We start from the raw sequence: 27,830 nt of genomic DNA, 5'->3' as shown, positions 1-27,830 counted from the left end.
TACTTAACATTTGTGTATATCAGTTTCCTTACCTGTAAAATGAGGATAATACTAGCCATGTCTTTGTTCTCATCACTGCCACAACTCCCCTCCCCCTTAACCTCTCAATCACAGCCGCTTCTAATACCATACATTCCCCAAATGAGAGGAATAGGAACACAAGCGAAGAGGGACATGTGGGTTGTAGATAATGCAAACAAGGCAGGCTGAAATAGACTTTAAGTTTGTACATTCCCAGTGAGATGACTGTCACTGTGGTGCAACAATTACATCTCGATCACGATCTCTGACACATTCCATTAAACACCCTTGTTTTATTTCAATACTCACTAAGCTAATATGTGACCCTCAATTGACCTGACTATAGGGAAAGATGTACAGACTCAATAGAGCTTTGTTCCTGATTTCTATGAAGGTACATTCTCATGGTCCGTGTTTGCATTGGCTCTCTGACCTTGAGTAGTATTGTCATGTAGTTTGAGTAAAGGGAGAGATAGTGTTTTACATGCCTATGTGAATATTTCTAGTCTGTGTGACAGATGGTTTATTGTTCTTGGATAAACTGGCTTTCATGAATGAATGAATGCAATTTACAAATAGGCAGAATGATCCTAACTACAGCATAAAAATGTCACTTCATTCCAATCCTTCTAAATCAAGATTTCCCGGTGTGAACTACTTAGACTGGGGGAATTTCTTCTCAGCTGACAGTCACATTTGCTGTTAGTTAACTCCAAAGAAAGCCTGAAATTTTGGTAGGAAGTGAAAGCTCTGAAAATTGAACTGGGTCAGTTTGTTGTCTACCACATATGGCCAGCCTTCATTCTCAGGTTTGAGTGTCACTAACTTGAGTAGAAGAAAAGAACACATGCACTTAGGGTTCTTCTTATAGTTTTCCATGGAAATGTCCCTTTTTGCTTAAAGGCACCAAAAATAAAAAAAAAATCATAAGCTGTACCTCCTAGTAACACTTATTAAAAGAAGGCTCTATTGTGGGGACAACCTTCATTATATATTTTTGCTCCAATGTTTTTTATTATTAGTTCATTCGATAATAAATTGTTGAGATTTTACTGTATCCTATATCCTAGGCACTGGTTATCTTTAGGGATTTAAAGAGGAATAAGAGAATGTTTGTACCAAAAGCTTTTAGAGCTTATAGGGAAGAATACAAAGAAAAACTTAAGATTTCATTTATTTCCCATCATTCCAATAAGATCATTGGCAAAGATAAATAAAATGGGACTTTGTACAAAGAAGTAACTACCTATAAATTAAAGCGAACCAATTATTTAGGGGAAGCAGATTGATCTTGATTCTAAAACCTGAAAACATTCTATTTAGGGAAAGAATAGAGTAATCCCAGCACTTTGGGAGGCCAAGATGGGTGGATCACTTGAGGTCGGGAGTTCAAGACCAGCCTGACTAACGTGGTGAAACTCCATCTCTACTAAAAATACAAAAAATTAGCCGGGCATGGTGGCGCTTGTATGTAATCCCAGCTACTTGGGAGGCTGAGGCAGGAGAATTGCTTGAACCTGGGAGGTGGAGGCTGCAGTGAGCTGAGATCACACCACTGTACTCCAGCTTGGGCAACAGAGAGAGACTCCATCTCAAAAAAAAATAGAGTATTATTATTAACATCCTCAATAAGATCCTTAGAGTAAACATAACCATATTTTTCACAGGACTGCCTCTCAGTATGCGATGAAGCACAGCTCTCTATAAACCATTTGCATGAGCGGGAGGGAGACAAATAGTGAACTCTGCATTACTGGCTGTTTAATAGTCTGTCATGATAGAAAGAGCAGGATTTTCAAATTGCTGCATGGAGACAGATAGAGTTTGAGATCTCTAAACCTACTCCCAGGTCCCCATCACGGCTTGTGAGTGAGCAGTGGAAAGGGCCAGACAGTGATGTTCCAGTTTCCATCAGACAACTGTAGCTTTTATCTGTTTTATAACATGGACTTCCTTGTCAGGTTTTATTGAACAAATGATTCTTATGGCTTAAAACAACTTTAAAATTATTTATCTAAGGGAATGTTTGTGGTAAAATCAAATTTCCACTTTAAAATGTATATAATATTGATAATCCAAGGTTTGATAAATATCAGTAGATATTTCAAGATTATACCCTTCAACAAATATTTGGGACGCAGTTAATCTGTGATTCCAGAAAAATTTAGATTCTTGACTTAGTAATTAACAGAATTGGAAGAGTAAATGATAGTGGCTCATAAAGGTTAGGGAGGCCAAGGCAAACATATGCCTAAACAGAAGACTGACACAGTTCTGCACAGGAGGTTTCATGAAAGAATCAGTGGGAAACATCTAAATGTTCCTTTTCTTTAATTTTAATTTTTAATTTTATTCAAACTTATATTTGTGTATGGTTTTTAAAGAGTTAAGCAATTGACAAGGCTTTTTATGAAAAACCAATTGTTTACCGTCACTCTCCCTCTACCTTAACATTTCCTTTTCTTCAGAAACCGTTTTTCCCCATTCTTTCAGGTAATTTTTTTGGTATTTATCCCCATGTCTAAATGACCAGGTTGAATCACTATCTGTGATTTTTTACTTTTAGACACTATCTATTGACTCTCCAATATGGATAAAGGGAATTTAGCTTTCTTATACTCTTACATTCCCTACCAAAAACGTGAACAATTCCTATTATCCTTAACCCCCAAATTTAATTATCTCATAGGTTTTGTTGGATAAATCTTTGGTGTTTATTAGTGATTGGAAAAATTCTGTTCACAACTAGTCATATGGCTTAATCTGACTACTTTTCTCACTCTAATTTTCTCTGAAGTTACAAGTTTCTTCACACATTTGCTTATTATTCTTTGTACTAATTCAATCCAAACTTCCCCCAACTCAGTTGTGTGAATTTTCTCGCACATTAAAACACATCAAGCATTTTTATAAATGCCATCTTCTTAAAGACTTTTCTCTGGAGTTCTCTGTCCTGCTGCAGCCTAGACTGAAGATTTCTCTCTGGGCCAGCTGCACAGCTGTACCTTGGCATCTGACCATGACCCTTTGGATTCTATGTAGCTCTTTCTTATATTGGATCACCTATTTCCTGTGTCCCATTCTCCTGTTGTTTACTATAGTGCATTGGAGAAGTATACATTCTGGTAGCTTCCTAGAAATTGTGTATGGGCAGAATAATGTTTGATCCCTTGAATATCTGAAAATGTCTTTGTTCTATACTCATTACTTGAAAAGTTATCTGAACATAGCATTCAAGGTTGAAATAATTTTTGTCTATAGCTTTGAAGGCATTGCTACATAGTCATTTGTAAGTTGTGAGGTTGTGATGCCATTATGATTGCTGATCTTATGTAATTAAATTTATATTTCCTCCATTTGGAAGCTTATAGAATTTTCTTTTGTTCTTAGAGTTTTGAAATTTCCCAATAATTACCCTTCGTGTGGATCTGTTTCAGTCAATCCATTTTTCTAGAAACTCAGTGGACTTTTTAAATCCAAAAATACCTGTTTTTCAGTTTCAGAAAATTTTCCCCAACTATATTATTTTTAGAATTTCTCCTTGCCAAATTTTTGGTTATGTTTTTTTAAAAATTCCTTCTATTTCATATATCGGATCTGTTAGATTTATCCTCTAATGTTCTTACAGTTTTTCTTCCTCCTCAATCCCTCCAATTCCTTTACTGAAGTCTACTTTCTGGTATTTTTATTTTCTAAGAATTCCTTTACATTCCCTGAGTGTACCCTTTAAAAAAAACTGTTCATATTTCATGAACTTAATTTCTCATCTTCCTAATCACACTGATGATTATTTTTTGATGTTTCTTTATCATTGTAATTTTTTTTCTTTCCAGTGGTTTTATTTATCTTTGGTCTCCACCTCATATGTCAGAGACTGCTCATTTTTTAAGACTGTGGTACTAAGAAGCAGATTGCAAAATGTCTGTACTTGCAATGGGCTTTTCAACTAGGTGTTTTCTGTAGCATGATCAGGATGAGCCATTTTGGGAAGACCTCTTGATATCAGTATTGTTAGAAGGTTTCTCTTGACTGGACTGAGTTCTCCAAGTCTTCCAGTCTCTTGTTTTGAGGATAGAATCCTGGCTGCCAGTATTTTGGCATTCTGATCCTTTGTAGAATAAATTCGTAGTAATCTGCCGGATAAAGGGATGGTATCTAGAGAGATCAATAATTTTTGAACGGATTTTCAAAAAATCCTACTCTTTTCACTGTTTTTTTTTTTTTTAGCAGAGTATGTTAATTGTGTAGACTTTTTGGGCTCTACCACATAAGTTGGGTTGCTATTCATTTTCCCCAAGTAGTCTTAGGATTAAGCTGTCTTGTATTTGTTAATTTAGTTACCACTTATTGATCTCCTTTTTTTTTGCCTTCAACATTTTTTGCTGTTGTATGTGTGTATGTCTGTGTGTGTGTGTGTGTGTTTGTATGAGTTCTCTACCAGAATCTTCATCCCTATGGGTTTATAGCTTTAAAATACATAGTTCTTTTGTGTGGTTTTGGGAGGGAGCAAATGTCATTGGTCTGCTTAGTCTTCCATCTTTAATTGGAAGACAATATCTTGATTTTCTTAACAAATCATTCAAGGTGAGTTCTAACCAGGGTTCCTTCTTCTAACCAAGGGACATGAATGAGTGAATGTGAATGGTATTTGGCAGCATCCACTTTAATAATTTCAGAAGCTTAAATTAGCATGGTACGTTCTGTAGAGTAGGTGTTAGCTAGATCCAGCTTACTATCTGTCTTTGTAAGATTCAGGAGCTAAGAACGGTTTTAACATGTTTAAATGGATTAAAAAAATCAAAATAGAAATAATGTTTTGGGACATGCAATACTATATAAAACTCAAGATTGTGTCAAAAATGTAGTTTTATTGGAATACAGCTATGCTTATATATTCGCTGTGGCTACTTTTGGTTCTATGACAGGACAGTTGATTAGTTGTGACAAAGACCACATGGCCCACGAAACCTAAGATATTTACTATCAGGCCCTTTATAGAAAAAGTTTCTTGATCTGTTCTCTGTAGTGTAAAACCTGGCAGTTCAGTAATTGAAATACCTAGCCACAGAATATAACTGAAATATGTAGCCACTTTAAATAATATAATGTTTTGGTAAAACCCCCAGGATAAGCAAGTAAAAAAATACATTTCTAGATACCTCTGTTAGCTTGCTTTGTAGATTTACTAGTTATAAACCATTAAAGCAAAACAAAGATTTTGATTTTAGAATATTTGATTTGCATGCATTTTTCCACTGGTATATAGATAGCCCGTCTAGAGTCTTGTAATATATTAAGGCTGCCACTCAGCTGGGTGCAATGGCTCATGCCTGTAATCTCAGCACTTCGGGAGGCGAAGGCAGGTGGATTGCTAGAGTTCAGGAGTTCGAGATCAGCCTGGGCAACATGGCGAAACACTGTCTCTACAGAAAATATAAAAATTAGCCCTACATGGTGATGCACACCTGTAGCCCCAGCTACTTGGGAGGCTGAGGTGGGATGATGGATTGAGCCCAGGAGGTTGAGGCTGCAGAGCCACGATTGTGTCACTGCACTCCAGCCTGGGTGACAGCAAGACTCTGTCTCAAAAAAACAAAACAAAATAAAACCAAAGATTGCTATTTATATATGGCAAAAAAATTCTTGTTAGCCTATATAATTGTTCTTATCTTTCTCTTTCCTATAGCAATGGTGTTTGCTAACTAAATGGATTCTCAGATATTGAGAAGGAGCAAGCAGAGGTGGGATAATGAGGGAGAAGAGAAGATGTTATGGACTGAAGTTTGTTTCCTCCAAAATTCATATATTAAAGCTCTAGCCACCAATATGATGGTATTAGGAGGTGGTGCCTTTGGAAGTTCATTATGCTTAGATGACATCATGAGAATAAAGCCCCCATGATGGGATTAGTAACCCTATAAGAAGAGGAAAAGGTCAGAGCTCTCTTTCTCTCTCTTTTCCATGTGAGAATACAATAAGAAGGCAGCCATCTGCAAGCCAGTAACAGACCCCTCACCAAGAACTGAGTCTGCTGACACCTTGAACTTGGACTTCCCAGCCAACAGAATGGTGAGAAATAAATGTCTTTTGTTTAAGTTACCCACTTGACAGTATTTTGTTACAGCAGCCTGAGCACACTAAGACAGAGAGTAGGAGGAAGGAGCTAGAGAGAGACAGACCACATTCCTATTTAACTCATTGGTAATTATTCCTAATCTTACAACTTTGACTCTTGGGTAGCATTAAGATACAGGTTTTATATTAACATTACTACCCTAAATCCACGCTGACTTTTTATGGTTTATCACTTTACTTGTGTCTGTTAAATAAAGGCCAATAAATCCTGAGAATGATCTCAGGTATTCCTGACAGACACTGCTAGGTGATAAAAATATGATAAAAGTACCCCCAATAAAGAAAGGAAGAAATAAACTGTCACTTGCTGAGAGTCTGTACCTAGTCCACCTTTTTCATATGCTATCTCTGTAATGCCATTAACAACACTATAAAATAGGTACCATTATTATCCTCATTTTATGCCAAATGAAACTGAGTCTTGGATACATTAGATAAATGCCGCTCAAAGACTTACAGCTAGTAAGTGGTAGGACTAAACTTCCAGCCAAGGCTTTCTGTTGACCAAGTCTCTGCTCTTTAAAACCAGACATGCCACTTTGTAGCAGTTCCAAGAAAATGTTTTCACTCTAAGTTCCAGGAAAGGGAAGACATCCCTAAAATATTCTAGCTCATCTGCTGGAAGACAGACTTAAAAATCTTTAGACTGAGGTCGAGAAATTCCCTACAACAACTTTATTTATGACTATAGAGAGTCCTTCATCTGTCTGAAACATTAATGGGTCAGAATAATCATTCAATGAGTTGCCTGCAATAGTCACTTCAATTGGAGATGGCACTAAAGGGATAAACTTTTCCGCACATTTTCTCCACTGCCTGGGCCCCACTGCTGGTGGGATACCAATTCTGCATGCTTTTGGTATCTAGAACAAATGAAGGTCAGTGTGAAAAGACTATTTTCAGATATTCTTTTATTAATGTTCTTTGGAGGACAGATCATAAAGAAGTGGGTTATTTCCAAAACTCTGCCACAATCCTTCTCTGTAAGATACTAGGGAATCTGCCTGCTTTTGATGATTCAGCTTGTCTATTAGGAGAGTGAAGTGTTTTAAATTCTCTTTTTTCCTTCCTTCTTTCCCTTGTTTCTAACTTCTGATCCTTCTAATACTTTTCAACCACTTTGAAATTTTTGTTGAGCACCTACTAAATGCATGGCCTTGTACTTTGTTGTTGCAACAAACATGAATGTGAGCTAAAAAACAGCCACTCTACCCCTAATCCCAATCACATTTTACAATAAAGTAAAATAATCTGAAGACTTCTTTTATGAATGTCTTCTCCCCTTCCTTAAACTGATTACCCATCCTGAGTCTTGCTTCTTGCTTTCCAGGTCAGATAAGTTGCTGCATCAATCAGTGAACTTGGAGTTCATCTGTCAAATACAGTGCAGATCACACAATTGCTTATAGACATAGCGTCTGCCTGGATCCAGAGTTTGATTTGGCTTTTTTGTTTCTCTGCCTATGACTGACTTTACCCAGTGGCTAACTCCATAGTGAGATGGTCCATGTGACAACGATTTGTCCATAATGCACTAGATCACTGATCCATTGTATGGCCTAACAAGGAACTGCAGGTTCTTGTTCCATCTCCTGATCTGGGATCAGAAGATTCCAAAGTTGTTAATAAAGGAATGATTTTCCAGCCCCCAAAAGATGAGATGGGAGATGGACAGGAATTGATTTTGAAAAGGATTTTTGAATAATCACATAATTTTGCATAAATGTGTCTTAGGGGATGCTTTACGATTAGGGCATTTGAAAGGCTAGACTGCATTCCTTCCTTTAAGACATTCAAATGCTCTCATTTTTTTTTTGTTTGATTTTTAAACAGTCTGGCTAAAGGTTTATACATTTTATTGATCTTTTTAAGGAACTAGCTTCTAATTTTATTGATTTTTTTCTTTTTTATTCCTCTGTGTGGTTATTTTATTTATTTATTTTTATTTCACGTTTTTTTTCTTTTTCAACTTTTACTTTAGATTCAGGGGTTACATGCACAAATTTGTTACCTGAGTATACTTGTGATGCTTAGGTTTGAGGTATGAATGATCCTTTCACCCAAGTACTGAGCATAATACTCAAGAGTTAGTTTATCAGCCCTTGCCCCCTCCCTCCCTTCCCACTCTAGTAGTCGCCAGTGTCTATTTTTGCCGTCTTTATGTCCGTGAGCACCCGATGTTTAGCTCCCATTTATAAGTGAGAACATGTGGTAATTGGTTTTCTGTTTCTGCATTAACTTGCTTAAGACAATGGCCTCCAGCTACCTCTATGTTGCTGCAAAAGACATGATTTAATTCATTTTATGACGGTGTGGTATTCCGTGGTGTACATGTACCACATTTTCTTTATTCAATCCACCATTGACGGGTACCTAGGTTGATTCCGTGACTTGGTTATTGTGAAAAGTGTTGCAATTAATGTATGAGAGCATGTGTCTTTTTGGTAGAACAATTTGGGTTGTTTCACATGCACACACACACACACACACACACACACACACACACACAGAGTAAAGGGATTGCTGGGTTCAATGGCAGTTCTGTTTTAAGTTCTTTGAGAAATTTCCAAACTGCTTTCCACAGTGGCTGCACTAATTTACATTGGCACCAACAGCGGATAAGCATTCCCTTTTCTCAGCAGCCTCACCAACATCTGTTGTTTTTTGACTTTTTAATAATAGCCATCCTGACTGGTGTGAGATGGTATCTCATTGTGGTTTTGATTTGCATTCTCTGATGATTAGAGATGCGAAGCATTTTCTCATATACTTGTTGGTCACTTGTATGTCGTCTTTTAAGAAATGTCTGTTTATGTCTTTTGCCCATTTTTTAAGTGGGGTTATTTATTTTTTGCTTGTTCAATTGTTTAAGTTCCTTATAGATTCTGGATATTAGATCTCTGTTGGATGCATAGTTTGCAAATGTTCTCTCTCATTCTGAAGGTTGTCTGTTTATTCTGTTAATGGTTTCTTTTGCTGTGTAGAAGCTCTTTAGTTAATTAGGTCTGACTTGTCAATTTTTGTTTCTGTTGCAATTGTTTTTGAATAGTTAGTCATGATGCTTTCCCAAGGCCAATGTACAGAATCATGTTTCCTGGATTTTCTTCTAGGATTCTTAGAGTTTGAAGTCTTACATTTAAATTTTTAATCCATCTTGATTTAATTTTTATATATGATGAAACGTAGAGGTCCAGCTTCATTCTTTGGCATGGCTAGCTGGCTATTCCAGCACCATTCAATGTATTGAATAGTAAGTTCTTTCCCTTTTGCTTATTTTTGTTTACTCTGTCAAATGTTAGATGGCTGTAGGTGTGCAGCTTTGTTTCTGGGTTCTTTATTCTGTTCCCTTGGTCTATGTGTCTGTTTTTGTACTGGCACTGTGCTGTTTTGGTTAGTGTAGCCTTATGGTATGGTTTGAAGTTGGCTAATGTGATGCCTCCAGGTTTGCTCTTTTTCCTGAGGATTGCTTTAGGTATTCGGACTCTTTTGGTTTCATATAAATTTTATAATAGTTTTCTTCCAATTCTGTGAACAATGACATCGGTAGTTTGATAGGAATAGTGTTGAATCTGTAGACTGCCCCTTGGAGTGCCCTCGTTTTTACAAAATAATAAAAGCTTATCTGGAGGAAAACAGCCTTGGACAAATTCTGACTTGAGTTCAGATAATATGAGCATTTGCTACTATGTCCATTTGAAGAAGGTGTTTAAATTCCTAAATCTAAACTGTCTCTTTTAAATGGACATATGGAAGGTAACTTTTTTATTGAATTGTCCTAACTCAAGATGTAGTCCGATAACTCAAGATGTAGTCCGATGGCCTGTTGTGGAGTAAATAAATATTGGCTAGATGTTGGCTGCAGTTTCTATTCTTCTCTGTCTTAAATTGAACTAATGAACTCTTCAAACAAATGTTATTCTTCACTGGATGATACACTTTGTGTTATTTCCCTTTTGCCTTTCTTCTGTGGAGGGATGCCTAAAAATGATTCAAATGAGATTAGAAAGTGAAGGATTAAACACTTAAACAGGATTAGTTGTTGAAGAACCATTCAGGGTCATTAATGCATTAAAACATTTGTGCATTATAAAGTAACAAAGAGGAACAGGTGTAGCATTTGGCTTAATGATTTGACCACAAAAATTAAAACAAATTTTTTTTTGTTTTAAAAGAAGGAACTTGTAAATTGAGTGTTCTAAGGCATAAATTTTGGGAAATGTCAGTTTAACAATGGATGCAGTGAAACTTGGCCCTACTATTAAGGGAGGAAAATAAATTTGTACAACATGTATCACATATGTCAAATAGTTAAATGTAAAAAAAAAACCTGAAAATATATTAAGACTAGAGTAAAATATGGAAGTACATTTTTAAATCTTTGCATGCCAAGAACTCTGTGTTCCTGGAATAAATGAAAAAAATTACAAAGGTAAATATTGATAGATTTGATTATATAAATGCCCAAGTATTTCTTGTGCCAAAAAAAAATTACTTGACTTTAAGAGGCAAAAGTTAAACTTGAAGAAATCATTTATTTAAAATGACAGACTTTGTAAGCAACTTAAACAAGTAGTGAATTAAATATATATATATATATATATATATAAATAGACCGAGTGTGGTGGCTCACACCTGTAATCCCAGTACTTTGGGAGGCCGAGGTGGGTGGATCACAAGGTCAGGACATGGAGACCATCCTGGCCAACATGGTAAAACCCTGTCTCCACTAAAAATATAAAAAATTAGCTGAGTCTGGTGGTGCGCACCTGTAATCCCAGCTACTTGGGAGGCTGAGGCAGGAGAATCGCTTGAGCCCGGGAGGTGGAGGTTGCAATGAGCTGAGAGCACACCACTGCGCTCCAGCCTGGGCAACAGAGTGGGACTCTGTCTAAAAAAAATAAAAAGAAATAAAAAAATATATAAATGATCAAAATATATGAATTGTATATGGATATAAGAGGAAATAAATGGCCAGGCATGGTGGCTCATGCCTGTAATCTCAGCACTTTGGGAGGCTGAGGCAGGTGGATCACAAGGTCAGGAGTTTGAGACCAGCCTGCCCAACATGGTGAAAGCCCATCTCTACTAACGAAAAAAAAAATTAGCCAAGTGTGGTGACAGGCACCTGTAATCCCAACTACTCAGGAGGCTGAGGCAGGAAAATTGCTTGAACCCAGGAGGCAGAGGTTGCAGTGAGCCAAGATCGTGTCAATACACTCCAGCCCGGGTGACAAGACGGAGTTTTTGAAACTCCGTCTCAAAAAAAATTATGAATAAATGCATGAAATATAATATTTAAAAAAGTTAAATTAAAATAAAGAACAAATTAAGGACATAACATTTTATTTACAAAGTTTGTAATCATTCAAAAAATTCAATACTCAGTATTCTTAAAAGGGTTTCTCTGTCCCATGGAACACTTACATGAAACTGTGGGAATATTAATTTTTGTCATATTTATAAAGAATAATTTAGTAACATATAATTAAATAATTGCAGGTGTATTAGTCCTTTCTCACACTGCTATAAAGAACTGCCAGAGACTGGTTAATTAATAAAGGAAAGAGGTTTAATTGACTCCCTAGTTCTACATGTTTGTAGAGGCCTCAGAAAACTTCCAGTTTTCTGCCAAACCTAGAGTCATAGCCAAACCTCTTCACAGGGTGACAGGAGACAGAATGAGAGTCGAGTGAAGGGGGAAGCCCCTTATAAAACCTTCAGATCTTGTGAGAACTTACTATCACAAGAATAGCATGGGGGAACTGCCTCCATGATTCAATTACCTTCCATGAGGTCCCTCTCCCAGTATGTGGGGATTATAATTCAGATTACAATTCAAGATGAGATTTCTGGGTAGAGACACAGTCAAATCATATTATTCCACCCCCAGACCCTTCCAAATCCCATGTCCTCACATTTCAAAACACAATCATGGCCTTCCAACAGTCGCCTTAAGTCTTAACTCATTCCAGCATTAACCCAAAAGTCCAAGTCCAAAGTGCTTCATCTGAGACAAGGAAAGTCCCTTCTGCCTATGAGCTTGTAAAATCAAAAGAATGTAGTTACTTCCTAGATACAATGGGGTTACAGGCAATGGTTAAATACACCTGTTCCAAATGGGAGAAATTGGCCAAAACAAAGGGGCTACAGGCCCCATGCAAGTCCAAAATACAATAAGACAGTCCTTAAATCTTAAACTTCCAAAATGATCTTCTTAGACTCACTGTCTCATATCCAGATCATGCTGATGCAAGAGGTGGGCTTCCACAGCCTTTGGGAAGCTCCATCCTTGTGGCTTTGCAAGGTACAGCTCCCCTCCTGGCTGCTTTTACAGCTGATGTTGAACATCTGTGGCTTTTCAGGAACACAGTGCAAGCTATCAGTGGGTCTACAATTCTGGGGTCTTCAGGATGGTGGCCCTCTTTTCACAGCTCCATTAGTCAGTGCCCCAGTGAGGACTCTCTTTTGGGGGCTTCAACCCCATATTTCCCTTCCACATTGCACTAGCAGAGGTTCTCCAGGAGGGTTCTGCCCTTGCAGAAGATTTCTGCCTGGACATCCAGGCATTTCTATAAAACTTCTGAAATCCAGGCAGAGGTTCCCAAACCTCAATTCTTGTCAGGCCCACCACTGTGTGTAAGTTGCCAAGGCTTGGGGATTATGACCTCTGAAGCAATGTCCTGAGCTGTACATCAGCCCCTTTTAGCCACAGCTGGAGCTGAAGCAGCTGGGATGCAGGGCACCATGTCCTGAGGCTGCATGGAGCAGGGGGGCCCTGGGCCTTGCCCATAAAACCATTTTTTCCTCATAGGCCTCCAGGCCTGTGATAGGAGGGGCTGCTGTAAAGGTCTCTGACATGCCCTGGAGACATTTTCCCCATTGTCTTGGTGATTAACATTTGGCTCCTCATTACTTACGCAAATTTATGCAGCCAGTTTGAATTTCTCCCCAGAAAATGGGGTTTTCTTTTCTATCACATCATCAGGCTTCAAGTTTTCCAAACTTTAATGCTCTGCTTCCTCTTGAATGCTTTGCTGCTTAGAAATTTCTTCTGCCAGATACCCTAAATCATCTCTCTCAAGTTCAAAGTTCCACAGATCTCTAGGGCAGAGGCAGAATGCCACCAGTCTCTTTGCATAGTAAGAGTGACCTTTACTCCAGTTCCCAACAATTTCCTCATCTCCGTCTGAAACCACTTCAGCCTGGACTTTATTGTCCGTATCACTATCAGCATTTTGGTTAAAGCCATTTAAACAAATTTCTAGGACATTCCAAATTTTCTCATATCTTCCTGTTTTCTGAGCACTCCAAGTCTCTAGGAAGTTTTAAACTTTCACACATTTTCCTGTCTTCTTCTGAACCTTACAAACTGTTCCAACCTCTGCCTGTTACCCAGTTACAAAGTCACTTCCACATTTTCAGGTGTCTTTACCGCAGCACCCCACTCTCTCCTGGTACAAATTTACTATATTAGTCTACTCTCATGCTGCCAGAAAGAACTGCCCAAGACTGGGTAATTTATAAAGGAAAGAGGTTTACTTCACTCACAGTTCTGCATTGCTGGGGAGGCCTCATGAAACTTACACTCATGGTGAAAGGCACCTCTTCACAGGCTGGCAGGAGAGAGAATGAGAGCCAAGCGAAGTGCAAAGCCCCTTACAAAACCATCAGATTTCATGAGAATTTACACACTATCACAAGAAAAACATGGGGAAACTGCCCACATGATTCAATTACATCCCATGAGGTCCCTCCCCCAACACCTGGGGATTATAATTCAGATTACAATTCAAGATGAGATTTTTCTGTGAGGACACAGCCAAACCATAACAGCAGGTAACCTAAATACTATGGTCTTAAGGTTTGTGTCCCCAAAATTTGTATGTTGAAATCCTAACCCAAAGATGACAGTGCTAGGAAACAGGGCCTTTGGGAGGTGATTAGGTCATGAAGGTGGAGGCCTTATGAATGGGATTAGTGCCCTTACAAAATATATTGCCGATAGATCCTTTATCTCTTCCACTGTATAAGGGCACAGTAAGAAGGCATCTTCTATGAATCAGAAAGCAGGCCCTCACCAGACACTGAATCTGTCAGCATCTTGATCTTGGACTTCCCAGTTTCCAGAGCTGTGAGAATTAAGTTGTTTATAAGCTACCCAGTTTATAGTACTTTTTTATAGTTCTCCCAATGGAGAAATATGCTAATTTTTTTAAAGAATGTAATTAGGGAAATGATAAAGCATACATAAGAAATAGTGTATTGAAGCCCTTAAAATATTCCTGAAGATATTTCAGATATAATATGAGCTCAACTAAAATGAGTTTATCAATAAGTATACCTGAGAGGAAATAAACCAAAATGTTAACTTTGATCATCTCTGACTGGTAGAATTAGCATTTTTTCTTTCTTAAACTTTCTTTTATTTTCTATAAAGGAAAAAACCCAATAAGCTTAAAAATATATAATCACAACTTGGATTGGCATTTCTGACACAGAATTAAGTCCTTGATGGTAGGGCAGGAAGTAGTGTAGACAAGGAGTAGCCTAAACAAAAATGCCTCCTAATCTACTTACATGTATATTGGACCATTTGATAAGGCAAATAAAGTGTCCTGTCCAAGCTCAACTAATCAGCTGATAAATAAGTTTTTATCTTGGGTTGTGACAGTCATTGGAAATGAAAGTGAAAATGAAGGATAGAGGCAAAGAAAAGAAAGAAGTAGTTTTGAGCGTCCCAAGAGTGAGGGCCACTATCAAATTTGGAGGATGGTAGCAAGTATGTGTGCTGTAAATTCAAAAAGAACCATCTCAACACTGTTACTTTTAATATCATCTGTAATAATTCTCCAGGGGAAATCAGGAACTAACCAAAGTCACATGTACTAAGCTATTTGGGGTTATGCTAATAAGTTTTATAAATGATGAGCTTAAGTTTGTAATGATAAGCCCATATTAATCCTATTATATTGATAAAATGGCTGGTATATTCACAGTTTTCTGCTCTAGCCTCCAAAGTTAAAGCATGGAAATCTGTAAAAACTAACTAAGCTGCTTTTGTATGTACACAGCACAAAGAAAAACACCAAAAAAAAAAAAAATAATACAACCTGCTCTTCTCATGTTTAGAATTTTTGTTTTTTGGGTTTATTATTTGTTAGTTTGTACTGCATTCTGCCAAGACATGAATGATTAATTAGAATAAAACAATTATAAGGTAAATTGAGTCATCATAAAACAAAAAGCATCCCAGCAGATTTATTAAACTATCTCTTGGATGTGGAAAGGAATGGGATGTCTCCATAGCAGCTCTGTATCTACTGAGGTCTATTCCCAAGTGTGTTCCTCTGCCTCTGAGTCTTATCAAAGTTACAGTTTCTGGTAGCTACTTATTTTGGCTGTCTCTTCAGTCCTCAAGCCGTTTTCCTTCCTGAGAACTACTTCCTTGCATATAGCTATGTGCTCCAGTCAGCTATAATCGCTCTGTACGTCCCCATCCTTTCCCATAACTTATGTGGGGAAGGAGTTGTGGTGTGGGGGTATCTGACACAAAGTGGGCCAATGATAATCTTCTTTCTAGGCAGATGGAAGTAACACCGAAAGGCAGGGTATCCATCCCTATATGTGTCTGGGACAGTAACAGGGACTCTTAGAAGCTAAGAGGCCACAGGGACAAGGAAGCAGAGAAAGCCAATTTACAGAGAAAGTAGAATGAAGTTTTCAGGGAAAGAAAGAAAAAGAAAGTTTTTTGGGTTTTTGCAGAATTCCCTCTCCTAATCTCAGTTCCTCTTTAAAATCTAGCTACATTATGACTTCTGGTTTCTGCAAAGCACCCTTATATTTTTTGAAAGATATCTGACTCTGTTGGCCTGCTCCCCCAACTCCCAATTTTTGGTGTAGCTGTTAAGGGAATTTAATTGTGTCCAGTTATTTGCAAATCGGGAGACTTATTTAATATAAACTTTTACCAAAGGCAGGTATTTCATTTATTTTATCTCCTTCAGGTCTCCCTGACAAACCTGTCCTCCTTTGGGGCTGCTTCATTTGATTAACTTAAACTTGTACAATATTTACATCATTTATAAAACGCTCTTGTATGAGATTGTTTGGGCTCCTCTGGAGTAGTCATGGTCTATTGTGTAAACACAGCTTTGATGTGATTTCTACAACTTGCATTATTTACCCAACAGACTGTGTAACTGCTCCAAATGAACCATTATGACTGTCATGTGGCATAAATCTATCTTCAAGCACTTTTGAAAGCATGACTCACTGTAGTCTTTTGTGTAAGGGAATTTATGAAATGTGTATTATCCATTTAATAAAGTCTAATGTCTGTCTGGTGAGCTGAGTTAATCCACTGGGAAAAAATTAAAACCTTTGCAGAAAGGAGAAATAATTTCTTATACCAACTAATTCTAGCACTCGTAGTCAAAAAATCTTATTTGTTTTCTTCACTAGACAGAAATTTATGGCCCTGTTTTGTACACTACCTTATCCACAGTGTTGGGCACAGGATCTGGCATAGGGACTAATGCACTTTGCTGAATGAGTGCCTGAATAAACTCATATAAGTTGTTATCTCACTTAATTCTAGCAGCATCCTCATTTGCAGATAAGGAATGGTGACTCAGGTGTGGTAAATAATTTTTTTTAAGTCACATAAATTTATAAGGTAAAACTGGAATCCAATCCATCCTACCCAACGCCATAGCTACTTCAATTATGTCAAAATAACAGAAAAGATACAGAAATAATAAAACATTACTATAATAACTAGCATAAAACAAAATACTTATGTATCCAAAAGAACACAAAAACAAGTAAAGTAAATCTTTCCAGACTGGAAGTCAGGAGATCTGTGTTTTACAAGATCTTTTCTTTCAGTTTGCTACATGTGTTAGGCAAATCACTTCATTTTTCTCATCTTTCTTTTCCTTCTTGGTGTTACAGCTTATTTTCTAAAAACCACTATTTTGGATATTCCTGTTTCAGTTGTTTTCATTCTCTCTTCTTGGAAGCACCTGAGAACAATTGCTTAAATTTTAACTTTTTACTCAATTTTACTCCCTAAGCACCTGGCTTGCCTCACGCCAGTCCTGGCCCTGCTCTCCACAAAAGCCCAGGAAACTCCTAACATTGCTTCCAATCATTAAAAACTTTCACAAGAGTCAGTCATTAACACCTTCCGCAAGAGGCCTTAGGCTCACCTCTCCAAGGAGACTGAAAATCAGAAGGAATACATTTCCAGTGGAATTATAAAGGTCCTAAATTATTACCTGGGTAAGTGGGATTGTCCACCCCTTCCAATTTTCCTGTTTCTTTTTCTCCTTTTCTTTTTCCTCTCTTTCTTTTCAATTTTGCTGCATGTGGGGCTCCTTTCATGCTTCTGCATTATATCAGGTATATACCCATCAAAATGCCCTTGAATGGACCGTAGTAAGAATAGGAGTAACATCTCTCCTCTCAGATGACATCAGGTATGACCTCTGTTATCCTCTATGATTGTTGCTCTCATGAGCATTCCTACCCTTGATCTGGACTTTGCATCTTTTCGGGTGATGTTCATGTAGTATTTGGTTTATATTATCTTCTCCTGAGAATAGAAGCGTGTAATGGCCATGTATTGGGGGAAGTTTGGGCGTTTGGCATGTTGGCGGCACAGCCCTGTTAAGCACTTCTTTTGTTCTCAGTTCCACCCAGGTCTGGAGGTAGAATAGCTGGCTGATTGCTCACAGCACCTTGGTATAAGAGCAGGGGAAACCCACAGCTGCTGAAGGTTGAAGCTCTTTGTGGCTTAAGCTGGGCTGGGTTGAGTTCAATGCTCCATTTAGGGATTGAAAGACATGTCTTCCAAACTTCTGAATTGTATTCCAGAGAGCCCCAACATAGGAAAGTGGGACAACTCTGAGTGAGAAAAACTGGGAACAAACCCAATAGCTTTTCTCTCCCTGCAGACCTCATGGGTTTCATTATTAGCTATGAGTGTTTTGGGTGTCAGGACTGAAAGTTCATTGTATATGCTGCCTCTTGAAGTAAACTGTCAGTAGTAGACCAAGAAGTTATTGAAGGGCTCTAGATTATTTTTAGGTGAATACAAACAAACTTGAGCTATCATTTAAAAAAAAAACTTCGGGAGGATTAAATTAGAAAAACAAACAAACAAATAAGCAAGCAAACAAGAAACAACAGCAGCAAAAACAAACCCTACACAAAGATAATTAAAAAAGAAACAAAATTAACACCCCTGAATGGTATTTGAGTAATGGTGAAAGACAGAATCAACACATTACCTTGTCCTTAAAATTCACTGAAATAGCAGAGAATGATAAATAATACACATGCAATGAGGAAAACAAAAATCTCTTGCATTTCCATGCTCTCCAGAGCTTAGCTGAAATAAGTCCCCGTTCCTGTTTGAGTTTGGCCTTGTAGGGCTTTGAAATCAGAAAACAATCCCTGCACACAGAATTGGATGCTCACTAGCTAGCATTTAAAAATAGGAAATGAAAATGAGTGACAAAATAGAATACTGGAGAAGAGAGGAAATAAACCACTTTCCCATCCTACTACTCTTTCATGATCTATTCTGTCCCACAGGCATAGTGGAAATTGCTTTGCTTGTGCTGGCAATGGGGTTTCACCATAAGTTATTAAAAAGTCAAATCAAGGTTTTTTAGATCCTTGTAATTACAAAGCTAAAAAGCAATTGGAAACATATATTCAGTACCTTCAGAGCATTTGCTGTGACTTCCCAGTGACATATAGTCAGGGGCATGCTATTGGGTGAGGATTTTTCTCTTCAATTCCTTCAGCCTTTTCTGAAAGAAAACAGAATTCTCGCACCATCTTTCAATTAAATGAATTCAGTTAATTAGCTTCACAAACAGAGCACATTTCCTATTCAGCAGAGGATTCATTAAGATTGTCTTTTTGTAGCCAGCTCTGGCCCTCACCTTACTGGCTAGATGGGCTAGGTATCACACATTAGGGTCTGCATTTGAGTCAAAGTTTGTCCTGAGTTAAGAGTTTGGGTAGGAAGACAAGGACCGAACTTGGGGTGTGTATAAGTTGGGGAATGAAAGAGTGTGTGTCATGAAAAAGTGTGAAAGAATCAGAATGATCTCATGATTTGAAAAAAGACAATAACGCAATGGTTCATTTGTAGTCTCTCTGGGGTATGTGTTCTGAGAAATTTTTCCTGCCTCATCATATTTGCTTCACTGAGATCCAGTAACAATGATTCATGATTTTATCACAGTGGAGCTGAACAACTGGCTACAAACATACATAGAAAATAGATCATCTAACCATGCCTCGTGTGTGCCACATGCAGCTGGGGAGGCAAACCTGGGAAGAATCTCAGCACATAGTCTCCAGTTCACCTAGAAGGACTATGTTTTAGAAAAAGAATAGGAATCGAAGCCACCTCCCTGGGGTTTTTGATGCAGTTGACTGTATGGCATAACAGACTCTAGGAATGTTTGAGCCTGTCCCATCTGTTTTCTTGATAATGAGGAAACAGGCTAAGGGAGGTCAAGCACTTGTGCAAGATCACACAGTTGGCCAAGAGCAGAGCCCTCTATAATCCCTGTTGCTTGGCCATTGCACATCAGTCTCTGGATGGCCTTGAAAAAACAGCTTCTCTTCCCTGTTCTGTCTAGTGGTTTCTTGTTCTCCATTTTTGTTGAGAGGTTTTTGGGGCTAGTGGTTATGGATATGGGCTCTGGAGACAGTCAACTTGGGTTCAGATCTTGCTTCTGTCACTTAATAGCTCTATAATTCTGTACAAGTTACTTTTCTGAGCCTCAGTTTCCTCTTCCATAAAATAAATTGTTGTAAACATATAGATGGCCGTACATGTAACATGACCCAGCTCTCTTGCTCCCCTTCCCCTTTCCCCCTTACCTTTACTTTCTTTAAATAACAGGCTTCATCCACCTTTGATAAATATGGGAATTGTGATTCAAGAGGCTTATGATCCATAAGGCAGAAGATCAGGCTGATACATTACAGTCTTGAGACAGATATTTGTTGTTTTACCTACCTAGAGTTTTCCCATTCTTCTCAGAATAGAACACCCCTTCCTTTACCCACTCCAATGATGTGGTCATAGATAGAGTAACTCACTATGTTCCCAGATGGCCCTGTCCCACTGATCACAATTAATTTGTCCATTATTAGGCACCTATACCAAATTGAGCAAATAGGTTATTCGCCTAGATTTTTACTAAAGGATCTGAGGGGAAAAAAATAAAGGTTCTCATTTTTAGTGGTGAAGCTGAGGCATAGGAGACTTAGGGATACTGACACCCACCACATGGAGAAAGCCTAACCTCACTGAGAGAAAATGAAGTTATCAGAATAAGATGTGGAAATGAGCCAGAGAACATCTTGGCATTATTCAAGTTCCTATACTCAGCTCTTCATGGGGCTCAACTCCACTCCTATATTTGATATATTTAACTTTTTCACTCTTTATTTGATTAGGTGAGATACCTTGTTATCCATCCGTTCGCCGAATGCTCCTTTTACCTAAGTACTTTCAGACAAGAGATATATATTGAGGGCAAGTGTCTTAGTTTTCCAAAATCTAAGAAAATGTCACCCTTCTTGTATGGTTGCCTTGAGGAATAAATATCATATGAAAAGCCCCTGGTTCTTAGTGAGTATGCATGTTTTAACTTTACATGAGTTTAAGTGCAGGATCTGCCACTCATTAGATAACATGCATATGAGATTTCTGGTGGCTCAGTTATTGACCTTTAAGACAGTGCTGATAATAACTCCATCACAGTGTAATTATTAGCACTAGTGGAATCATGAATGACATGTGAGAGAGCATTGTATTTTAAGGAGTGCTATTCAAAGATACAGTGAACTGTGGCCTTAGTATCACTATATTAAACCTTCCACATTTCTGAGTATTGTTTGAGGAAATCTTCCTGCCACACTCTTCCTTCACACTCTTCATATGAATGGCTAGTATGTAACATAATTGACTAATCAACATGCCACCAATTTGTATTTCTTCAGTAAATCTTCAGCAGACATCTGAAGGAGCTGAAACACTAAAGCAAAATAAGATGATTTTGAAATAATCAGTTCCCAAATGTGAACACATGTGATGCATGCTTGACAAACCCTTGGAGTAATTATCAAGTCATTAGCAATGATTTTGAAAGAAGGATTTCTAAACATTCTTGGTTATACATTTCATGTCTTTGTCTTTGTTTTATTTTTGGGGGTTGGGGGCCTGAGATTTGGGAATCCACTGGGGCTGAAAACATAGGCATCTCTTTTCTGGGACAATGAGGAGAGAAGAGTAAGGCAGCCAATTGACTCAGTCTTCATAACCAGTGATTTACAAAAGAACAGACCGTCTGTCATTTTTTAAAAATGGGATTTTCTGGCAATTTATTAGAGAAAACATAAACGGTCACCCAAAGGAAATGGATAAGAGAACTATGATTTCATTCTTGTACTGTTTCCATTAGAAGTTTATGACAATGGGTAATATTTATTGAAAATCAACTATGAACAAGAAGATTTATATGTATTATAACCTTGATGGACTATTTTCCTCACTCCACACATAGACAGACTGATATTCTGAAATGCAGTGTGTCTTATTTGAGACTAGGACTGTCTGGTTCCAAACCACCACTTTACCACTATTCTGGACAAACAGGTCTGATTAAGGGACAGTTGGAAGGTGAACAGGGGTTGCAAGTTATGATAAACGATTTGCCTGAACCACACATTCCATGGCAAGCAACTTTCCCAAACCATGCCACGATACCCATTATTTCAGAGTCTTGCCAGCAGTAAGTGTGCTGTTTCTTCAGTCAGTGCATTCCTGAGCATGCAAAGGAACTTCTCTAGACATTTCCCAAATCAGAAAGTGTGGAAAAGGTCCAACTGTGTGTACACCCCTCATGGACAGATGTGTGAGGTTATAAAGGGAATTGTAGAGTTTATCTGCCAAAGAGATGCAAAAGTTGATGACATTTTTTCTAAAGTGATTTTTTTCAACTGAGATAAGATCTATTTAATCTGTAGTGGGTTGGAAAAAAACTCATCTAAGTTTCTCTCTTTTAAAATACTTTTACATAAAAATTGAACAGTTGCTATTGTAATTACTCATCATTGTTATTACCATTATTATATTATAACCACTTATTAAAAATAACATTAGGAATTTCTCATGTAAGAACCCCTTGTAAGGAAGGTTCTGAAAAACTGAATTCTCATTCATTTCCTGATTTGCAAACATGCACAGCATTTTCTACTGTAAGAACAATCCCAGCACTAAATTCTTTTTCTTAAGAGAATTCCATTCCTTCTGCCCATTTCTCTCTGACTCAATAACTTAAATTGTATTGCATTTTGCCTGAAATTCCAGGATTAGTAGTTCAAAGTAAGTGTTTTCCACTTCTGTGACCTTCCTTGAAAATGAGAATTTCTCCTACTCGAGTTCAACCTGATATGTCTATAGATGAATTTCTTCATCAACATATATTCTTTGTTCCTCTTTTTAGGTATTAGAAATCTTTGCCTTGTAGTCTTTATTATTTTATTCTTAAGTCTTGTCTTTTTCCGATTACCTCATAAGCTAATTTATAGGTGGGAAAACACTGGAGTTTTTCTTCTTTAGCCACTGAGCTATAATCTTGAACTGAAAAAAAAAAGGTAGAAAAAAAATTTTATTTTCTTGTTCTGAGGACATTCATTTATCATATATTTACCAATCACTCCTCTGGGCTGGACATATATTGATGTACCTTCTCTCATGCAGTTTTTCTAACACAAATAAGTGAACAAATGATGAAATAAGAAAATTTCATATGCTGTAAAGAAAATTAAACAGGATAATAGAATGCTATAGAAGAGCCAACAATGTGAAGATTTGGGCCAGGACTACCCCGTGCTGGGGACAAGCAAGTACAAAGACATGAGATGATAACCAGGGTACAATATGTGTTCCCAACAGCAAGGGTGTGAAGTCTCATTGGTAGGAGATTTAAGGGTGGAAATTCTTCTTTATGGGGAATAATGTGAGAGAGAGGTTGGGTGGGGACAGAGTTAGAGGAATCAGATCTTAAATAAAATTGTGACAATTCTGATTTATTTTTTGTAAAATAATACAACAAATGGTTTGTATCCTTACCAATTTAAATAAATAAATGTTATTGGTATTTAAATAAATAAATGTCATTGCTATTCTCTCCAGGTCAGAAGAGAATACCAGTGACATTTATTTACTTAAATTAGTAATAATGCTTAATTCTCTATTAATTTCCAATAGCCTTTCAAAAACTTTCCTCAACTTGGAAGTAAATAACAAAACTGAATGAGAAAAAGACTAGAAAAAAAATTTCAAAATGTTTTTTGAGGAATAAAATTTACATATGATGTCTCAGAACCAAAGTATTAAACTCAACATAGCCTCCTTTGTCATGAAATGTAGTGAAGCCACCTGCCTCTGAACCCATGAGAGTAGGATGACTATTGAATTGCCTACATACCCACTATCTATGCCTTAGGCACAGATGAAAATCTGAGGTATAAATTGTTCTACCTAGAACCAGGGATTTGAAGGGGAAGGCCTACTGCACAACAGTATCCTCTTCTGCCCTCAAATAGTCTTATAAACCTTCTAAAAATGTCTCAGTCATTATAATTTGTAATTTAAGATCTTCTCTCATGTGCTTCCCATCTTTCTTTCCAGTTAATAATGTTCCTCTCCAACCCTGCCAAGTTTGGGGTATTTGAGGAATAGATACATGAATCAGACTAATGATGATAAAACATGAGCTTTATATTTGGTAGATAAAACATTAGCTTTAAATTTGCATCTATAACCACAATGAGATTTCCAAAAGCCTTGCTTTTGAGATAATCTACTTAAGAGTGAGTTTCAGTTTTCTGAGCAAAATGTTTTCCCAGAATTGATGCCTTATTTCCAATGTATCCCCATGTAGTACCAACCAATGTTAGAGATCTGAAGATATTGAGATTTGGTCCGCCAAATGCATCCATTGTTCAAGAAAATCTTGTCTTCCTTCACCTTTATGAGTAAGAAAATAATATAGGAAGATATGTTAGAAAAACAAACGTATGAGCCTTTAAAAAAAGAGTAAAAGTAGAGTTACAGATTCAGAAAACAGTATACACATATAGTTCACTGAATTTTTACAAATATATAACAACTGTGTTACCAGCATCTATAACAAAGTAGTAAGGAACTCTCACTCAGAAAAAATCTCCATTCAACTAGCCTCCAACATAGGACTGGGCCTGTTCGATCATTGTCCTGTCATTCGTTATTTTTAAGTAGTTCTTATCTTTCTTGTACTTTCTCTTTAGGTCTATTATTATTTCCCTGGTTTTCCCAGGACAGTCCTATTGTCATGGTGAAATTATTTGTAGTGGGTTGAATAGTGTCCCCCCCAAAAAGAGATATGCCCACTGAGAACTACATAATGTGACCTTATTTGAAATAAGGGTATTTGCAGATGTAATCAAGGTAAAGATCCCAAGATGAGACCAACCTGTATTAGGGTGGAGTAAACTGTAAATTCAATGATGAGTGTCCTTATAAGAGAGATAAAGGGAAGACACAGAGACATAGAAGTCCATGTGAATAGAAAGACAGAAATTGAAGTGATACAGCTATTAATACAAGCTAAAGAATATCCGAAGAATATCTAATAACACAAGCCAAAGAATATCTAGGATTGCTGGGAGTTACCAGAAAGTAGGAAAAGGAAAGAATGAATTCTTCTCCAGAGACTACAGAGCAGGAACAGACCTGCTGACATTTGTATTTCAGACTTGTAGCTTCCAGAACAATAAGAAAACAAATTTATGTAATTATAAGTCACCAAATTTGTGGTAATTATTTACTGCAGTCCTAGGAAATTAATACATTATTAATAATTCCCCTTTTCAGTCTCAAAAGTGTCCCAGTTTGGATAATAAATTATATGGTCACCCTTAGTCCCTAGGAGTTCTCATTCCATAAACTTCTCAGGAATTTCCTTCAGACATCAGTCAATACCTATAACCCACTTATAATAAAATAACTGTGGTGTATTAAAACTTGTCTATTTACACTTGACATAACTTTTGTTGATCTTTACAGATTAGTCTACATTTTCTGCAGCTCCTTGGTTCTTCTGGCCCCATTTTCATAGACACAGTTCTTTGTAAACTTGCATAGTAGATATTCTATCTGTAGCTTTTAAAAAGCACTTCCAAGCATAGACATGCATTGCTTAGGAATGAGGATATCTTCTGAGAAATATGCTGTTAAGTCATTCTGTCCTTGAGCAAAAACACTTAAGCTATATGATATGGCCTATTGTTCCTAGGCTACAAGCCTATACAGCATGTTACTGTACTGAATATTGTAGGCAATTGTAACACGATAGTAAAAAAAATGTGTATCTATATATATCTAATCATAGAAAAGGTAAAGCTATGGTATAAAATGGTAGACTTCTACAAGGCAGCTCCATTATAATCTTATGAGATTACTGTCGTATATGGAGTTCATAGTTGACTGAAATGTTGTTATGCAGTGTATGACTATGTTTTTTTTTTTAATTTTTTTTGAAATGGAGTTTCGCTCTTGTTGCCCAGGCTGGAGTGCAATGGTGTGATCTCGGCTTACTGCAACCTCCGCCTCCCGGGTTCAAGCGATTCTTTTGCCTCAGCCTCCTATGCATGACTATGTTTTCTTGGGTCTTGAATCCTTGTGGAGAAGTCATTTTATTTACTCTCTGAAATTTTACCTCTCTTTCTTTGAAGATATCCTTGCAGCTCAAGTCACTGTCTCTGATCAAATAAAAATATTTCTTTTGGTAGTTGGAGTGGCAGAACAAAATGGTAAAATAGAAAGCTCCTCCAATCATCTCTCCTGCAAGGACACTAAGTTAACAACTATCCATATGGAAAAAACACCTTCACGAGAACCAAAAATCAGGTGAGCACTCATAATACCTGGTTTTAACTTACTATCGCTAAAGGAGGCACTGAAGAGTTAGAAAAAACAACCTGAATTGCTGATGCTACACCTCCCCTATCAACACCCCCACACTCCCTAACCCCCCACCCCCGACGCCCCGCCTCAGCAGCATGGTGTAGGGAGCCTCTCTGGGCACTGGGGAAGGGAGAACCCAGCAATTGTGAGGCATTGAACTCAGCGCTGTTTCTGTTACAGCAGAAAGGAAAACCAGAGCAAATTCAGTTGACTCCCACCCACAGAGGGAGGATTTCAACCAGCCCTAGACAGAGGGGAATCGCAGATTCCAGAGGTCTAATCTTGAGTGCCCACAAACCTGACCATCAACAGCCAAAGTGCTCTCAGTCTCCAAGTAAACTTGAAAGGTAGTCTAGGTCGTAAGACCTGCAAATCTTAGGCAAGTTGTAGGGCTGAACTATGCCCAGAGAGAGTGGACTTTTGGGGGCACACAACATACTAAGACACCAGCTGGGGAAGCCCAAAGGAGTGCTGGCATCACCCCTTTCCTAATCCTAGGCTGCACAGCTGGTAGCTCCAAAAGAGACTCCTTCCTTCAGCTTGATGAGAGGAGAGGGAAGAATAGGGAGGACTTTGTCTTGCCTCCTGGAAACAGCTCAGCCACAGCAGGATAATGTACTGGTCGGAGTCATGAGGCCTCCATTCCAGGCCCTAGCTCCCAGATGGCATTTCTAGAAACACCCTAGTTCAGAAGGGAATCTGCTGCCTTGAACCCCCTGGGTTATGCTGCTAACTAAAGAGCGCTTGGGCCCTGAGTAACGAGCAGCAATACCCAGGTACTACACTGAGGGACTTGGTGAGCCTCTGAGACTTGCTGGCTTCAGGTGAGACTCAGCACATTACCAGCCATGGTGGCTATGGTGCAAAAGTCTTTATGCTTGAGAAAAGCAGAGAGAAAAGAAAAGGGGACTTTGTCTTGCACCTTAGGTACCAAGACTGCCACAGGTAGGTAGAGCACCAAGCGGGCTCTTGGGGTTCCTGATTCCAGGACTTGACCCTTGGATGGCATTTCTTGACCTGCCTTGGGTCAGAGGGGCACCCACTGCCCTAAAGTATAAGTCCCAGGCCAGACAGCATTTACCACAAACTGACTTAAGAGACCTTGGGCTTTAAGGGAACATCAGTGGCAGTCTGGCAGTACTCCTGGCCAGAGGCAGTGTTGGCTATGGGGTGAGTCTCCTTTGCCTTTGGAAAGGGGAGAGAAGAGTGGAAATGGCTACATCTCCTGGTTTGAGTGCCAGTTTAGCTGCAATACAATATAATACCAGGTATACTTCTAAAGTTTTTGACTTTTGTCCTTGACTCCCAGAGGGTACTTCTAGACCCACTCAGGGCCAGCAGGAGCTTGCCACCCTGAAGGGAAGAACACAGGCCTGGCTGGCCTTGCCACCTGCTGATCGTAGAGACCCAGGGCCTGTAGCAAACATTGGCAATAGCCAGGGAGTGGTTACAGCAGGCCTTGGGCAAGACCGAGCTCTGTGCTGGTTTCAGGTCAGTCAGTCATAGTGATGGTGGCCACTTGTGTCACTCCACCCCCAGATGTAGGTTTTCAAGAAAAGAGAGAGAGACTGTATGTTTGGGAGAAAGTAAGGGAAGAGAAGAGTCTCTGCCTGGTAATCCAAAGAAT

The 27,830-nt window shown here is 38.2% G+C and overlaps 2 long non-coding RNA genes across 4 annotated transcripts in view; one reads left to right on the top strand and one right to left on the bottom strand.

The window, feature by feature from the left end:
- Positions 1 to 23,878: 23,878 nt before the first annotated feature.
- Positions 23,879 to 27,830, bottom strand: part of LOC101927995 (uncharacterized) — a 119,590-nt gene continuing 115,638 nt past the window's right edge. For all 3 annotated transcript variants that reach the window (XR_001740628.2, XR_007095856.1, XR_001740627.2), the window contains one exon: positions 23,879 to 24,226. This is a non-coding gene — a long non-coding RNA (uncharacterized LOC101927995). The remainder of the gene's footprint in view (positions 24,227 to 27,830) is intronic.
- Positions 26,087 to 27,830, top strand: part of LOC105377013 (uncharacterized) — a 47,433-nt gene continuing 45,689 nt past the window's right edge. The window contains exon 1 of the long non-coding RNA XR_940683.2: positions 26,087 to 26,146. This is a non-coding gene — a long non-coding RNA (uncharacterized LOC105377013). The remainder of the gene's footprint in view (positions 26,147 to 27,830) is intronic.

This window comes from Homo sapiens, chromosome 3 (genome assembly GCF_000001405.40).
Source record: "Homo sapiens chromosome 3, GRCh38.p14 Primary Assembly".
Taxonomy (NCBI): domain Eukaryota; kingdom Metazoa; phylum Chordata; class Mammalia; order Primates; family Hominidae; genus Homo; species Homo sapiens.
The sequence above is the reverse complement of the archived record's forward strand: the minus strand, read 5'-3'. Positions and strand labels throughout refer to the sequence as shown.